Below are 17,851 nucleotides of genomic sequence, written 5' to 3'. Positions count from 1 at the left end.
TGATATGTCAGAGAACTAGAAGTAGAGTCAGAAGTCCTGGGGAAAATCCTGTAGCTTGCTTATATTTTTAACATTTCTTTTTCAAAATTGTGATAACTAGATGAGTTCATCAATGAATGTATATAGGAGTGACTAGTATAATGTCTAGATTTATGATTTAGTAAATGTAATTCTTACGACTGAATATAAAAGTGTTAAAAGAGTCAAATTGAAATAGAATGTTATCAGCAAAACAGAACTGTAATAACTCTGGGAAATTTTATCTGTCCAAATACGTGTGAACCAAGGTTCTTACTATAGGGTGTTGTATGGGTTAGATATCAAAGTGTAAATGCAATTTTTTGATATATTTTAATTTAGTCAAATTTGTTAATGCTTTAATTTATGCTTTTCAGTTTGTTGTAATTCAAGGAAAGGCTTTTCCAATTCTGAAATTCTTAAAAATTCTCTGGTTTGTGTGTGTGTGTGTGTGTGTGTGTGTGTGTGTGTGTGTTTACTTTTATAAATTCATTGACTTTAAATAAATTTCTGAACTTTTTGGAATTTATGCTCTATAAGGTTCAAAGTGTTGCTTCAACTTTGTCTCCAGTTGGATATCCACTTACAGTAACCTTTTTAGTGTATGGATGTGCAGGTTATTCTTTAACTTCAGAGGTAATCACGATATTTTATTGAGTACTAGCTAAAACTTTCTTTAGTTTTATTTAGGATTTTCATAATCATGAAGAAATGAAAGATCTGATGGATTAAAATTGCATTTTGAATACAGATATTGCTATATTCAGACAGGAAATGTGCACAATGAAAAATGACAACCTGGAAAAAGAAAATAAATAACTTAAGGAAGTTAAAATTGTTAAAGAAACAAATGCTGTCCTTGAAAAGTATATAAAACTCAATGAGGAATTGATAACAATAACAGCATTCCGGTATCAACAAGAGCTTAATGATCTCAAAGCTGAGAATACAAGGCTCAGTTCCGGACTGTTGAAGGAAGAAGAAAGCAACAAAAGACTGGAAGCTGAAACTGAATCTTATCAGTCTAGACTGGCTGCTTCTATAAGTAAACACAGTGAAAGTGTGAAAACAGAAAGAAACCTAAAACTTGCTTTAGAGAGAACTCAAGATGTTTCCGTACAAGTAAAAATGAGTTCTGATATTTCCGAAGTAGAAGATAAGAATGAGTTTCTTACTGAACAACTTTCTAAACCACAAATTAAATTCAATACCTTAAAAGATAAGTTCCGTAAGACAAGAGATACTCTCAGAAAAAAGTTATTGGCTTTAGAAACTGTACATAACAACCTAAGCCAAACACAGCAGCAAATAAAGGAAATGAAAGAGATGTATGAAAATGCAGAAGCTAAAGAGAATAATTCCACTGGAAAGTGGAGCTGTGTAGAAGAGAGAATATGTCAACTCCAACATGAAAATCCGTGCATTGAACAGCAACTAGATGATGTTCATCAGAAAGAGTATCATAAAGAGATAATAACTAATATCCAAAGAAGCTTTATTGAGAGTGGAAAGACCTCATGCTAGAAGAGAAAAATAAGAAGGTAATGAATGAATGTGATCATTTAAAAGAAAGTCTCTTTCAATATGAGAGAGAGAAAGCAGAAAGAGTAGTAAGTATCAAGGAAGATAAATATTTTCAAACTTCTAGAAAGAAAATTTAAACATTTGGTTCTGGATACATGTTGAACTTAGTTGAATATAAAAATCAATAGATAAAAAGTGTGTTTACCATACTGTATAATTCCATGTACGTGAAGCATCCAGAAAAGATAAACGTATAGGGACAAAAAGTAGATTAATATTTGCAAAGGGCTGGGACTAGAAGCTGGTAGTGACTGCTAATGGGCATGAGGGATCTTGCAGTGATGGAAATGCTGTAAAGTTGGATTGTAGAGATGGCTGCACAACTCAGTAAATGGACTAAAAATCTTTTAACTTTAAGTTAAAACAGATACATTCTATAGTATGTAAATTATATTTCAACAAAGCTGTTTTAATAAAAAAAGGAAAAATGTGTTTACTATATCAGCTTAGAAACATGCCTCATTTCTAGGAAATAAAAGGTAGAGATGAGAGATGATTTACTTTGAGAAAAGACATTGTGTCACCTATGAAATTTTATTAGGCACAGAGTCATATTTTAAGATAGATAGTTCTGTACTGCTGAAATAATTTTAATGACTTTATGTTGCCACATGTTAAGACCATAATGTAGGTATAAATGGAAATGTTTACACCTGAAATGAGTATTTTCAAATTAAAATTTAATTAAGTGATTTCCTTCGACACTTAATTCTAGACTTCCCAGATGAACTGAAGTGTATTGCTGTGTCTTGTAATACCTTGCTTTAAGTAGCTTTTTATGTGTTTTTTTTTTTGGTATATCTTTGTTATTATTCATATTAATTTTAAAAATCTGAAAATACTTCAAATTACATATTTTTATGACTACGTAATGTTGTAAAGGCACCTACATGTCATAAAATCATAATTTAGAATGAATGTAATAATTAACAAAACTATGTTTGATTTAGTTTTGCCACTGGTATTTATAGTTTACTTTGACTATTTATATTAATAATTAGCTCATAATTTTTATTTCAAGGCTCAATGACTATCATTGGAATATAATTTTGTTCAGTACAAAGATACTTGTAGCTGCCTGTGATTTATGAGTAAGGCATTAGATCCCCATTTTCAGACTGAGGGGTGGCAGGCTTCACGTACAGTGGGAATGGAGTAATTACAGGAAGGAGTTGTAGGAGCTTTGAAGTCAGAGAGGGAGGTAGAGGACTGTTTACCTAGGGCCTCAAAGGCCATTGGAATTTCACTTTTATCCTGAGATAGGAATCTGTTGGAAGGATTTGAAAAGGTGATTGAATATGTTAGTCACTTTGAGGTTGAGTTGAGCTTCTAAGATGATTGAATGGTGGGATGAACCTGTTGTGTAAGTAAGAGAATACCAATTTGGCAGGGAGTTAAATATTATTAACATAATTTAATAATAAGGCAATTTATAAAATCAGTAACAAAAATATTTTCTCAGGTGGTTGTGAGACAACTTCAACAAGAAGCGGCTGACAGCCTAAAAAAATTAACTACGTTAGAGTCTCCACTGGAAGGTATGTCACATTATCACATTAATTTGGATGAGACACAGGCCCCAAAGAAGAAATTATTTCAAGTGAAAAGTCAAGTGTGTATGGAATTTAACATGTCAACTCTTATTCTGTAGCTAGTTGAGTTTATATAACGTGTTTTAGGATACTAATTTTGGCAGAAGCTTGATTTTTTAGTTTCATTACAATGAATTATTTACATTTTACTATCTTTATAATGTACTTATTTTTTTATATTGTGACTTTCATTCTACCATTTTGAAAAACCATTACATACCTTTTCTGTTACAATATGTACCCTTGGAAAAGTGGAGAATTATATATCATTCCTCATAGAAAACTGACTTTTTTCCTGTAAAAACAGTATTTTTAAGTAATTTTTGTATTGTTCTGATGAGGCAGGCCAGATTAAATCAGAGGAGAATATTTCATGGAAAGTTCCAGAAAGTTGTCTTATTTCTTCACTTTCGTGAATGGACACAGAATCTGTGTCTATTTATTTCACAGACTGCAGGTTAACTTGTACAGAAAGGCCATTATACTATTCTTTGAAATGTGCATGTTTTAGGTTAATTTACAAACTATTTGAAAATTTAGGCATTTTCTTTATCTTTAATTTAAAATATACTATAAAACTCTAAAAATATTTAGATTTGATATAGCATGTAAGTCAAAAATTGAGAGTTGAGAAAATTATCTTGATCCTGCCTTTGGATTTTAAAAACAGTTTCACTGAGATATCATTCACATTTGAGAGAGTTCAACCATTTAAAATGTACAACTGAGTATCTATTAGTATATTCACAGCATTTTCATCACCCTGAAAAGCAACCCCACATCTCCTAGGCATGACTGCAGCCTTCCTCCATGTCCCTCCACCTACCCCTGTTGTAGGCAACCACCATCTATCTACTTTTGTCTCCATATATTTACCTGTTCTGTATATTTCGTATACATAGCGTTATACAATATGTAGTCCTTTGTGACTGGCTTTTTCACTTAGCATAATGCTTTCAGAATTCATGCATGTTTTAGCACACATGAGTAGTTTATTTCTTCTTATAGTTAAATGATGTACTATTCCATGGCTATACTGGTTTTCCATTCATTCATCAGTTGATGGACCTTTAAGTTAGTTTCCACTTTTTAGCTATTATGAACAATGCTGCTGCGAACATTCACTTACAGGTTATTATGTGGACACGGGTTTTTATTTCCCTGCCATTGGACTTTATCCTCAGAGTTAATTGGGCAGATTTCAGCACTTGTCTTGCTCATGCTATCCTTTCTGCCTTCTCAGTTTCTGTTCATCTAGCCTCATTCACTCAGACGTGGCAGACAATTTATTGTTTTCATGAAGCTTTCTCTGACTGTTCTCTCGTTGACCTTATGTGTTAGCAATCGTTGTCTAGTCTGTGCAGAAAAACTTAGTCCTTAATTTTACATGGCTTTTATTTTTTTATGGAAGATAATTTTCTCTCATTATAAATTTGCTTAATGGGGGAATAGTATATAATATGTATGTCACCTATCCTTGCATACATTGAAAATATTTTAGCTTAGAAGTTTGTAGCATAGAATTCAATACTTCTTTATACCATACCAATTATTTCTTCTTTGAGACCTTGACACAGTAAGGTTTATATTCTAAGTGTATTTTTAGCAATTAAATATCAAAGCCAACCCAATTAGTCTAATACAGGAGACTCGTTCAATCACATGTTTATGTTTTTCTCTCTATGAAAAAGAATCTAAATTGGCCTTTTTTCACTATGCAGCAGAACTGTGTTTCTGGACCTCTACCAGTTTGTCAGCTGAGCAGTTCTGGCTGCAGCTTGTCTGTTGATGGATAGCACAGCCCCTCTATCTGAGTGCTCAGCAGAGTGCTTGTGAAGGCAGCACCACAGCAACAGTTGCTCAGAGCGAACGGATTCAGGAGCCTCAATTTAGCAATAGAGTCCAGGGTTTTCAGCTCAGTGTCTTTAGCCTGTCTCTGCTGGTCATGTCAGTTATGTTCTATTCAATCCAGGAGGTGCTGTTTACGTTGTAGTACATATATAGTCATTGCCTAATGAGTCATACAGAGAGAAAAGTAAGTTATAAATTATGTCCCCCATTTGCTGCAACTCTCAGTGGTAAGAATGATTCAGTGCAGCTATAGGAGAATACTTCCATTGGCATGCCACCTGCCTAACTTACACAATTTTGTTAAGATATGCAATAAAATTATTATGCTAATAGCAAATATTTTATGTAGCTCACTATGTTCCACGTAGTCTTCTAAGTGCTTCATGTTAGTCCCAAGTTAAACACCTGGTTTTGGAAGGCTGAGGCAGGAGGATCGCTTGAGCCCAGGAGTTTGAAACCAGCCAGAGCAATATGGTGAGACCCGGTCTCTAAAAAAAAAAAAAAAAAAAAATTAAACACTTAGCTGAGGCATGGTGATGCATGCCTATAGTCCCAGCTACATTGGGAGGCTGTGGTAGGAGGGTCGTTTGAGCTTGGAATATTGAGGCTGTAGTGAACGGTGATCAAGCCACTGCACTCCAGGCTGGGTAACAGAGGGAGACTCTGTCTCATAAATAAAACATTTTCTATAGATTCCCATAGAAGTGAGTTAGACATCAGTCATAGAATTATTAGCCACTTTGATGTCTACCTTGGGAGTAAAACATATAATAAGGGGCAGCTTTAAACCATCTCAATCAATAGCCTCCAACTTCTTGAGAAGGTTCTTATTTCATGAACTTCTAAACAAGAGACTACCTGGATTAAGACATTTGGTGGACACCATTTTGAGATGAAGAATATTGAGTGAGAAGAAGGGAGATCTCTACTTACTGAAGCTTCCCAATGACATAGTTAAGTGTCCCCCAAAAGAAACTTTAGAACAAGACTTTCATCATGCCACATCTCTATGGAAAAGGAATTTCTTTAAAAGAAAATAAAGGCAAACAATTGATAATCTGATTCTCATGGGAAAGTTTTCATTATAAAAGAAAAAGAGTGCTGGGTGCCGTGGCTCACTTCTGTAATCCCAACACTTTTGGAGGCTGAGGTGGGTGGATTACCTGAGGTCAGCAGTTCAAAAACAGCCTGGACAACATAGTGAAAACCTGTCTCTACTGAAAATACAAAAATTAACCAGGTGTGTTGGTGTGCACCTGTAGTCCCAGCTACTTGGGAGGCCGAGGCAGGAGAATCACTTGAACCCAGGAGGTGGAAGTTGCAGTAAGCCAAGATGGTGCCACTGCACTCCAGCCTGGATGACACAGTGTGACTCCATCTCAAAAAAAAAAAAAAAGAAAAAAAGAAAAACAAAAAAGGGACAAAGTATACTGGTCCAAAAAAGAAGAAAGCAAGAAAAAAAGGACAAAGTATACTGGTTAGTATCATAACAGTGAGATAGTCCCCCTTTGAGATTAGACAATAACAGTATACTCAAAGTAACATTAATGAGAACCAACATAAAATAGACAAGATTCACTATCTACAAAAGTAATCTGCACCAATTAGCAATGTATGAGCATGTGGTTGAGAATATTGTCTATAATATGTGTACTAGAAGGAAGAGACCTCAAGAAAATGGTCAGAGCTGGAAATGTAGATTTGGGAATCTAGGTCAAAGTTTTGAGATTTAAGGAGTCCTGAGAGAATTTAAAAAGAGAATTAGCCAACAGGCATGGTGGGCCACACCTGTAATCCCAGCACTTTGGGAGGCCAAGGCAGGCAGATCATGAGGTCAGGAGTTCAAGACCAGTCTGACCAGCATAGTGAAACCCTGTCTCTACTAAAAATACAAAAAATTAGCTGGACATGGTAGCACATGCCTGTAATCCTAGCTACTAGGGAGGCTGAGGCAGGAGAATCGCTTGAACCCAGGAGGTGGAGGTTGCGGTGAGCCAAGATCATGCCACTGCACTCCAACCTGGGTGACAGTGGGAGACTCCATCTCAAAACAAAAAACAAAAACAAAACAAAAAACCAGAAAAGGACAGGGCTGAAGAACACAGGTCGCTACATTTAGAAAGGAGGCTGGGTCAGAGGAATAGAAAGGGATAGGCCTGAAGAACACAGGTCGCTGCATTTAGAAAGGAGGCGGGGTCAGAGGAATAGAAAGGGATAGGGCTGAAGAACACAGGTCGCTGCATTTAGAAAGGAGGCGGGGTCAGAGGAATAGAAAGGGACGGGGCTGAAGAACACAGGTCGCTGCATTTAGAAAGGAGGCGGGGTCAGAGGAATAGAAAGGGATGGGCCTGAAGAACACAGGTCGCTGCATTTAGAAAGGAGGCGGGGTCAGAGGAATAGAAAGGGATAGGCCTGAAGAACACAGGTCGCTGCATTTAGAAAGGAGGCGGGGTCAGAGGAATAGAAAGGGATAGGGCTGAAGAACACAGGTCGCTGCATTTAGAAAGGAGGCGGGGTCAGAGGAATAGAAAGGGATAGGCCTGAAGAACACAGGTCGCTGCATTTAGAAAGGAGGCGGGGTCAGAGGAATAGAAAGGGATAGGCCTGAAGAACAGAGGTCGCTGCATTTAGAAAGGAGGCGGGGTCAGAGGAATAGAAAGGGATAGGCCTGAAGAACAGAGGTCGCTGCATTTAGAAAGGAGGCGGGGTCAGAGGAATAGAAAGGGATAGGGCTGAAGAACACAGGTCGCTGCATTTAGAAAGGAGGCGGGGTCAGAGGAATAGAAAGGGACAGGGCTGAAGAACACAGGTCGCTGCATTTAGAAAGGAGGCGGGGTCAGAGGAATAGAAAGGGATAGGACTGAAGAACACAGGTCGCTGCATTTAGAAAGGAGGCGGGGTCAGAGGAATAGAAAGGGACAGGGCTGAAGAACACAGGTCGCTGCATTTAGAAAGGAGGCGGGGTCAGAGGAATAGAAAGGGATAGGGCTGAAGAACACAGGTCGCTGCATTTAGAAAGGAGGCGGGGTCAGAGGAATAGAAAGGGACAGGGCTGAAGAACACAGGTCGCTGCATTTAGAAAGGAGGCAGGGTCAGAGGAATAGAAAGGGACGGGGCTGAAGAACACAGGTCGCTGCATTTAGAAAGGAGGCGGGGTCAGAGGAATAGAAAGGGATAGGGCTGAAGAACACAGGTCGCTGCATTTAGAAAGGAGGCGGGGTCAGAGGAATAGAAAGGGATAGGACTGAAGAACACAGGTCGCTGCATTTAGAAAGGAGGCGGGGTCAGAGGAATAGAAAGGGACAGGGCTGAAGAACACAGGTCGCTGCATTTAGAAAGGAGGCGGGGTTAGAAGAATAGAAAGGGATAGGCCTGAAGAACACAGGTCGCTGCATTTAGAAAGGAGGCGGGGTCAGAGGAATAGAAAGGGATAGGCCTGAAGAACAGAGGTCGCTGCATTTAGAAAGGAGGCGGGGTCAGAGGAATAGAAAGGGATAGGGCTGAAGAACACAGGTCGCTGCATTTAGAAAGGAGGCGGGGTCAGAGGAATAGAAAGGGACGGGGCTGAAGAACACAGGTCGCTGCATTTAGAAAGGAGGCGGGGTTAGAGGAATAGAAAGGGATAGGCCTGAAGAACACAGGTCGCTGCATTTAGAAAGGAGGCGGGGTCAGAGGAATAGAAAGGGATAGGCCTGAAGAACACAGGTCGCTGCATTTAGAAAGGAGGCGGGGTCAGAGGAATAGAAAGGGATAGGCCTGAAGAACACAGGTCGCTGCATTTAGAAAGGAGGCGGGGTCAGAGGAATAGAAAGGGATAGGCCTGAAGAACACAGGTCGCTGCATTTAGAAAGGAGGCGGGGTCAGAGGAATAGAAAGGGATAGGCCTGAAGAACACAGGTCGCTGCATTTAGAAAGGAGGCGGGGTCAGAGGAATAGAAAGGGATAGGCCTGAAGAACAGAGGTCGCTGCATTTAGAAAGGAGGCGGGGTCAGAGGAATAGAAAGGGATAGGGCTGAAGAACACAGGTCGCTGCATTTAGAAAGGAGGCGGGGTCAGAGGAATAGAAAGGGACAGGGCTGAAGAACACAGGTCGCTGCATTTAGAAAGGAGGCGGGGTTAGAGGAATAGAAAGGGATAGACCTGAAGAACACAGGTCGCTGCATTTAGAAAGGAGGCGGGGTCAGAGTAATAGAAAGGGATAGGCCTGAAGAACAGAGGTCGCTGCATTTAGAAAGGAGGCGGGGTCAGAGGAATAGAAAGGGATAGGGCTGAAGAACACAGGTCGCTGCATTTAGAAAGGAGGCGGGGTCAGAGGAATAGAAAGGGACGGGGCTGAAGAACACAGGTCGCTGCATTTAGAAAGGAGGCGGGGTTAGAGGAATAGAAAGGGATAGGCCTGAAGAACACAGGTCGCTGCATTTAGAAAGGAGGCGGGGTCAGAGGAATAGAAAGGGATAGGCCTGAAGAACACAGGTCGCTGCATTTAGAAAGGAGGCGGGGTCAGAGGAATAGAAAGGGATAGGCCTGAAGAACACAGGTCGCTGCATTTAGAAAGGAGGCGGGGTCAGAGGAATAGAAAGGGATAGGCCTGAAGAACACAGGTCGCTGCATTTAGAAAGGAGGCGTGGTCAGAGGAATAGAAAGGGATAGGCCTGAAGAACAGAGGTCGCTGCATTTAGAAAGGAGGCGGGGTCAGAGGAATAGAAAGGGATAGGCCTGAAGAACACAGGTCGCTGCATTTAGAAAGGAGGCGGGGTCAGAGGAATAGAAAGGGATAGGGCTGAAGAACACAGGTCGCTGCATTTAGAAAGGAGGCGGGGTCAGAGGAATAGAAAGGGATAGGGCTGAAGAACACAGGTCGCTGCATTTAGAAAGGAGGCGGGGTCAGAGGAATAGAAAGGGACAGGGCTGAAGAACACAGGTCGCTGCATTTAGAAAGGAGGCGGGGTCAGAGGAATAGAAAGGGATAGGGCTGAAGAACACAGGTCGCTGCATTTAGAAAGGAGGCGGGGTCAGAGGAATAGAAAGGGACAGGGCTGAAGAACAGAGGTCGCTGCATTTAGAAAGGAGGCGGGGTCAGAGGAATAGAAAGGGATAGGGCTGAAGAACACAGGTCGCTGCATTTAGAAAGGAGGCGGGGTCAGAGGAATAGAAAGGGACAGGGCTGAAGAACACAGGTCGCTGCATTTAGAAAGGAGGCGGGGTCAGAGGAGCAGAGGGAGCATTTGGTCACTGCTCTGGTGAGTACAGCAGAATAAAGTCCTTCATGACCCTTGGACTTTTTTATTGGGATTATTAAAAATCAGATTTCAGTATAAAAAACACCATAATTGATGAAAAATAGATTTCTGAATGAGACCATGTGCCATAGAGTCCAATGGAAGGGGAGAAACAGGATAATAGAAAAGCCACAAAAAGTAGACAAAAGTTGTTTTATTATAGGAAAAATATACTTTATTTAAAGAGAAATGGTTAAGAGAAAGGGAAAAACTGAAACCTATGGGTGAATACTTAGAATGACAGTATTAACTCAACCTGAAGACAGATGAGGATGAAAAATGTAATGGGAACTAGATAAGAGTTTTTTAAAAATTGTCTTAGTAAGATGTAATTTAAGAAAACTTGGAATATCTTAAACTATTAAAGACAATATTTCTAGAGCATCTTTAAAAACTAAAATGTAAATATAACTACTCTTTTTTTTTAACTAACCCTTAGTATTTTGTGTGTAAAAACCCTCATTTGTAACAAACATTGTTGGCAGTTTAAATTTCAGAAAAGATAACGATGAAAATTTGAAACACTTATTGCAGTTTTAAGAAAAGTGACTATTTTTGAAATCTGCCCTTATTGGCATCAGGTTTACCAAATGCACTTTATACACCTGCCTAAATACATATTACTCATCCACTTATGAGAAATAATATTTTTGAGATAAAAGAGGGACTCTAGATTTTACAAAAATAATTTTAAACACTTTTTTAAGCCTGAAGAAAAAAATGAAGAATTAAGAAAACTTTTTGAGTTAATATCATCACTGGAGTACAATGTGGATCGAATAGGAAAGAAAAGTCATGATTTAGAAGAAGAAGCAACTGGGCATGGATGGTTTTCATATTGTAGAACATGTTAACCACTTATTAATTGATTTAACTCTAATTTTACTTGACTAAAACCTAGATACAAATTCATTTTAAGTTTGCATTTTCATAATTAAATGAATTCTATTTTAAAATGTATTTCAGAAACTCACAGCACAACTTTTTAGACATGTGTGTCATGGGGGCGGGAGTCAGCTGAGCTGCTGGGGCAAGGTGAAATTTTTTTTGAATGCCAAAATATTTTTTTTTTCTTTTTGAGAAAGAGTCTGGCTCTGTTTCCCAGGCTGGAGTGCAATGGCACGGTCTTGGCTCACTGCAACCTATGCCTCCAAGCAATTTTCCTGCCTCAGCCTCCTGAGTAGCTGGCATTACAGGCATGTGCCACCACGCCCAGCTAATTTTTGTATTTTTAGTAGAGATGGGGTTTTGCCAAGTTGATCAGGCTGGTCTTGAATTCCTGACCTCGTGATCTGCTGCCTCGGCCTCCCAAAGTGACGTGAGCCACCATGCCCGGCCACTTATTCTTTCATGATTTTGAAAACAATGACCAAGCCTTGGACATATAATGTCCAGTGCACTCTTCATTATCTAGTTTGAATTTTTATTTCTGAAGATATGTTTTGCTGTCTGTGGTCATTTTTTCTTCCTTTTGTAGTATCCTCTGCTGCATTCAAATTTCTTAAAGAAGACTTGTTTGTGTCATTCTTTAACATCAAATTTATCTTGATATGTAGCTTATATTTTGTTTCTGCTTCTTCTTTCTTTTAGATATAAAACATATCATGGAAATTTACTCATTGTAGATGAGTACCTCTGTTGTATACATGAAGTATACATGTTATTAAACTTGTTTACATAAATAAATTTCATATATATAAATATATGTATAACTTGAATAAAAAGTAAAATGAACATTTATGTTTTGATCACAGATTTTTTTTAAAACAACGGAATCTGTCTTTGAAGCCTTGAACACAGCTACTTTTCTATTTATTTACTGAGCACTTAATTTGGTTTTCTGATTCGAATCAACATTTTTCTGTCATTGCCTTTCTCTACATGGTTTTGTGTCTCTTTAATTTTGTTGACATTATGTCAGCAAAGATGTCTAGATCTCTTCTTCAAAGTCTTTAAATCGTCACACATCTCTCCGCCCCTTTCCTTTTTTCTAAAACTGCCTGTTTCCTTTTTCTCCTCAACTCAGATATTAAAGATGTTTTCTTCTCTTTTTCTACATTGAAAGATCTCCTTGATGCTTTTTGTGTGTACTTTTTTTTCTCTGATAGACTGTGGTCAATGCATATCAAAATGTATTTTTTGTCTTTTTCAAACGTATGTGTTTTACTTTTTTAACTTGGTTACTTATCTCTGGGTTATGGCTTATATTTAGTAATAGGTTATTTTACCTAGCATACCAACATGGATATGAGTAGTTTATTTACAAAAAGTGTACAGTTAGGCCAGGTGTGGTGGCTCACACCTGTAATCCCAGCACTTTGGGAGAGCAATGTGGGTGGATCATTTGAGGTCAAGAGTTCAAGACCAGTCTGACCAGTGAAACCTCATCTCTACTTAAAATACAAAATGAGCCAGACGTAGTGGTACACACCTGTAATCCCAGCCACTTGGGAAGCTGAGACAGGTGAATCACTTGAATTCAGGAGGCAGAGGTTGCAGCGAGCTGAGATCACTCCATTGCACTTTGGCCTGGGCAACAAGAATGAAATTCCATCCAAAACAAAACAAAACAAAACAAAAACACTGTATGTTTATAATATCACTTTACCTGCCATATATGACATAAAATTGTTCTTCATATTATTTATCTAAGATTATAATTTCATATAGAATGCTTTTAAACTATGTTCAGTTGAAACTGAAAGGAACATAGTTTATAGATTTGTTTCCTTGATATGCCATAACATATATTTAAACAATTATTAAATATTTACTCTTAAAAATACTTGACTTACTAATTCTGTACATTTCTGCAGATATAAACGCCTCCTGGAAATGACAATAAATATGTGAAATGTATTTGGAAATGAAGACGTTGGTTGCCATGGAGACTTAAAAACAGATCAACTGAAAATGGATATTCTGATTAAGAAGCTAAAACAGAAGGTAATTTTAAAAAAATTATATTATCTTAAGGTCTAGATTACGTGTGTGAGATGTGCGGGTTTGTTATATAGGTAAACATGTGCCATGGTGGTTTGCTGCACCTATCAATCCATCACCTAGATATTAAGCCCTGAAGGCATTAGTTATTGATGTTGATGCTCTCCCTCCTGACCCCAACAGGCCCCAGTGTTTTTTGTTCCCCTCCCCGAGTCCATGTGTTCTTATAGTTCAGCTCCCACTTATAAGTGAGAAGATGCAGTGTTTGGTTTTTTCTTCCTGCAGTAGTTTGCTGAAGATATCAGCTTCGGGTTCATCCATATCCTTGCAAAGAGCACGATCTCATTCATTTTTATGGCTCCATAGTATTCCATGCTGTATATATACCACATTTTCTTTATCCCATTATCACTGATAATGTCCACCTGGGTTGATTCCATGTCTTTACTATTGTGAATAGTGCTGCAGTGAACATACAAATGCATGTATCTTTATAATAGAATAATTTATATTCCCATGTATGGTAATTTTAAATCAGTTTTGGTATTAAAAATCATGCATTTTGGAAAATATTGATAATGGAAAAACCCAAATTCTGCCAAAATATGTTGAGAAAATAGAGGGTAAATATATCTTTTCAAACTTTAAATGCCTCAGGCTCTTAGTTAATCTTCCCCAGATCTGGGAAGACCTAGAAGGGGAGAGATTGGGCTACCTTAATGAGGGCCATTTCAATCTCTTGTCCTGCAGCAGCCATTTCAAAATACGTCAAAAAATATATTTGGGGGTAAAATATTTTGATTTCCTTCAGCCTCTTCTCTCTGTGATGCTGCACCAGAATCAGATTAGAAAGGAAGCCACATTATAAGTGTTAATAAAACCCATCTGATGAGATTTGATAGTTTGAAGGGTGTGTTTCCCAGACCCTTTAGATAGAATGTGGGGCCAAAGAAAACAAGGTCTTATTCCTCTATATAAATCTGTCAGTGCTTTAAGCAGTGAAAGAAAGATTTTTCATTTAATTTTACAGACTTGAAACTAATGAAAAGGATAGCTTGTAAAATATAAATCTCTTTTTCTATAAAAAGGACATGTTGTTGATTCTCTTAGACCTTGAACCCTGGCCAGTGATTTGAAACCAAGCAGTACCTATCTCCGGATCTCTAGTACCAAATTAATTCGGGGTGGGGGGGTAACAGGTTTATTGAGAAATAATGAACACACCATGCAATTCATTCATTTAAAGTATACAATTCATTAACTTTAGTATTTTCAGAGTTATGCCGTCATCATTACAATTAATTTTAGAACATTTTCATCACCCTAAAAACAAACCCCACATCATTTAGCCATCTTCACTAGTTTTCCCTTCCTCCCTCAGCCCTAGGGAACCACCCAGCTTCTTTGTATAGATTTGCCTATAAGCCTCTGAAATAAAAAGCAAGTGGTCTGCTGGGACTGGCTTATTTCACTTAGCATAATTTTTCATGCTGCATCTGTGCTGTAGCAGGTATGGATGCCGGGTTTTTGCTCCTTAGTTCAGCTACATCTGGGTTCTTCTCTCGTGACCAGGAAAAATTAAGCATGCAGACACATTGAGGAGGGCAGAATTTATTATGTGAAAGGACAGCTCTCAGCAAAGAGAGGGGTCCTGCAAACAGGTTTCCACCTCACAATTGAATACCAGGAGCACATGAGCTGAAGCGGCCAGGCTCCTCCTCTGCATAAGGCGTGAATTCCTGGTGACTCCACCCCATCCCCCCACTGCATGTGGGCCTCCGGTCTGCTGCGGGCATGTCCAGGCAAGACAAGTCCAGCTTCCCTTATCTGCACATAACATCTGGTGTAAACACTTGTGGAGCTGGTTGGAGATTCTCCGGGGACCCTTCCGTATCTGCCTAGGCATTTTGCTGTCTCCTCCTAATACGGTATCTGTACTTAATTTCTTCTTATTGCTGAGTAATAATCCATTGTATGGATACATCAAACATTTTATTTATCCATTCGCCAGGTGATGGGACCTTTGGGTTCTCTCCCACCCAAAGGTGACAGACGTTCTGGTTCTTTCCACCTTTTGACTACTATTAATAATGCTGCTGTAAACATTTATGTATGAGTTTTTGTGCTTGTGTATGTTTTTATTTTTCTGGAGTATATACTTATGACTGGAATTTCTGTGTCATATGGTAACTTTATGCTTAACCCTTTAAGGAGCTGCCAGTTTGTTTTCCAAAGTGGCTGCATCACTTTACATTCCCAGCAGCATTAGATAAGGGTTTTAATTTCTTTACATTTTTTTCTAACCCTCTTTTTTCTTGAACAAAGATTTTATCCTGTGGTGTGAAGTGATACCACATGTGGTTTTGATTTACATTTTCCTAATGACTAATTACATTAAGCATCTATTAATGTGCTTATCCATCTTTATATCTGCTTTGCAGATATATCTATTCAAAATCTTTTACCATTTTTTAAAATTGGCTTATCTTGTTATTTATTAATTGCAAGAGTTATTTATATTTCCTATATATGTAAGTCCCTTATCAGATACACGCTTTTCAAATACTTTCTTCTACTTGGCGTCTTACCTTTTCACTTCTTCATACTGTCTTCTGAGGCACAGTAGTTTTCAATTTTGAAGTCCATTGAATCCATTTTTCCTTTGGAGTCATAGCTAAGAAAACACTGGCAAATGCTGTCACAAAGATTTATGCCAGTGTTTTCTTCTGAGGGTTTTATAGTTTTAGCTTTTACAGTTAACTATTTTATTTTGAGTTAATTTTTAAATAAGATATTTGGTCGAACTTTATTTACTTTTTCTTATGGATACCCAGTTGTCCCAGCACCATTTGTTGAAAAGACTATTCTTTTCCCATTGTATTCTTTCGTTAAGTTTGTATAAAATCAATTGACTGTAAAAGTGCAAGCTTATTTTTAGATTGTCAATTCTTAGCTTCTTTATGTCTATTCTTATGTCAAAGCCCAATCGAATTGAATGAGAAGTTTTTTTCAATCATGTTGCATATTACCAGTTGTCTTATGTCATAATAAAAATTAAATTTAGTGGAATATCTGTAACTTCACCTTTTGTGTCACAAAGGAGTCTCTGGCCAGCTTATACCTTACTTCGTCTAAGACATGATCAGACGCCAGGCTTACAAGACACATTTAATTTCTTTTTTTCTCCATTCAAGCCTTTAGTCTCTTTTCCATTGCCTCCCGCTATAGTTATATTTTCAGTAAGTTTTGGTCGCAGGATCTGCTGACATAGTCTAATATTTAGTGCATTATGTTTTACTAACTCATTATAATTCATAGAACCTTCCATAGATGTTTACCATCGAGGAAGGAGAAGTTTAAGTCTGAACCACCAGCTTTCCTCAGTGGAAATCAAGTGAAGTCATCATCTTGCAGTTTACAGACCCTCTTTCCTCCTGGTAGCTGGTTCTCTTGGGTAGTACTGTAGCTAATCCTTTTCTTAGTGCAGATCTTGCATTCTCAGAGACCACAGTTCCCTGTATTGACCTCCTTTTACTGAAACAGAGATGCACAGCTCTGCTTTCTAGCTCAGTAGAGGATTCTTGGAATAAAACGTTTAACTCATTCCAAGAAAAAGTCTTAGGAGTGCAGCACTTCAAAATCAGGTAATGTTCAGGCAATTTATCAGAGACACATAGTAGGTTAGTATTTTGACTTTCAAAATTTCGGAGCCAAGTTGTGTGCTATAGAGAAGCATTGTGGCATAACATAGAGATGGGATGGTCTTAACTTCTCCATACAAACAAGCTTGGAGTAAGGTAAAGGAGAAATTGCATTTGATGTCTTAACACTCAAAACACACTATGCTTATTTTACTTCTGTGAAGACTAAAAATCATTCCATAATCTCCTTATTTGCTCATTTAGAAAAGAAAATGAAAATTGAATACTAGGTTGATTAATAAACACTCAAAGCTTCTTCTTTTAGAATTTTAGTTAATTGAAATCAGGTAAATGTCTGATTTTGCCTATGTCACCAAGTATTTCTAGTTGTTTTTCAAATCATACATCTTCTTGCTTCCCAGTCTTATTTCCTAACTTGAGGGGAAATTGTAAGGAGACATCCTTGCCTTGTTATCAGAGTTCATAATTGAAGGAGTTTTAGGAAAATTCCTCCTCAGCAGCTTATGTCTCTCTCCTGGTTATCTGCTGCTTCTCAATAATGTTTGACATCAATAAATAAATCTCAACATTTATTAGATCCTACTTTAAAGGAGACTTTTCTGCTGCATAAGTTATGTTTCCTGTTGTCTCTTTTTAAAAGTTATTTTTCTAACAATTACCCAGAGTCTTGTGGCTTGAAAGAAAAACATTTATTTTGTTCATGAACCTGTGGTTTGGGAAAAACTTGTCCAGAACAGCTTGTCTCTGCTCCCTTCAGCTTCCCTAGGAAGAGCTGATCAGTTGGGGAAATGGAATCCTCTGAAGCTTTGGTCACCCACTTGTTTGATGGTTGATGCTGGCCATCGGCTGTAAACTTGGTTGGGACAGGCAGCATGAACACTGACACAGGCACTTTCAGGCCCTCACAATTGGGGCTGGGTTC

General features: G+C 38.2%; 1 pseudogene; it reads left to right on the top strand.

The window, feature by feature from the left end:
• The first annotated feature begins 1,146 nt into the window (after window positions 1-1,146).
• On the top strand, window positions 1,147-5,199 carry LOC102723462 (putative ankyrin repeat domain-containing protein 20A12; annotated as a pseudogene).
• The last annotated feature ends 12,652 nt before the right edge of the window (window positions 5,200-17,851 follow it).

This window comes from Homo sapiens, unplaced genomic scaffold, assembly GCF_000001405.40.
Source record: "Homo sapiens unplaced genomic scaffold, GRCh38.p14 Primary Assembly HSCHRUN_RANDOM_CTG21".
NCBI lineage: Eukaryota > Metazoa > Chordata > Mammalia > Primates > Hominidae > Homo > Homo sapiens.
Note: the sequence above shows the minus strand (reverse complement) of the source record. Positions and strands in the feature narration are given on the sequence as shown.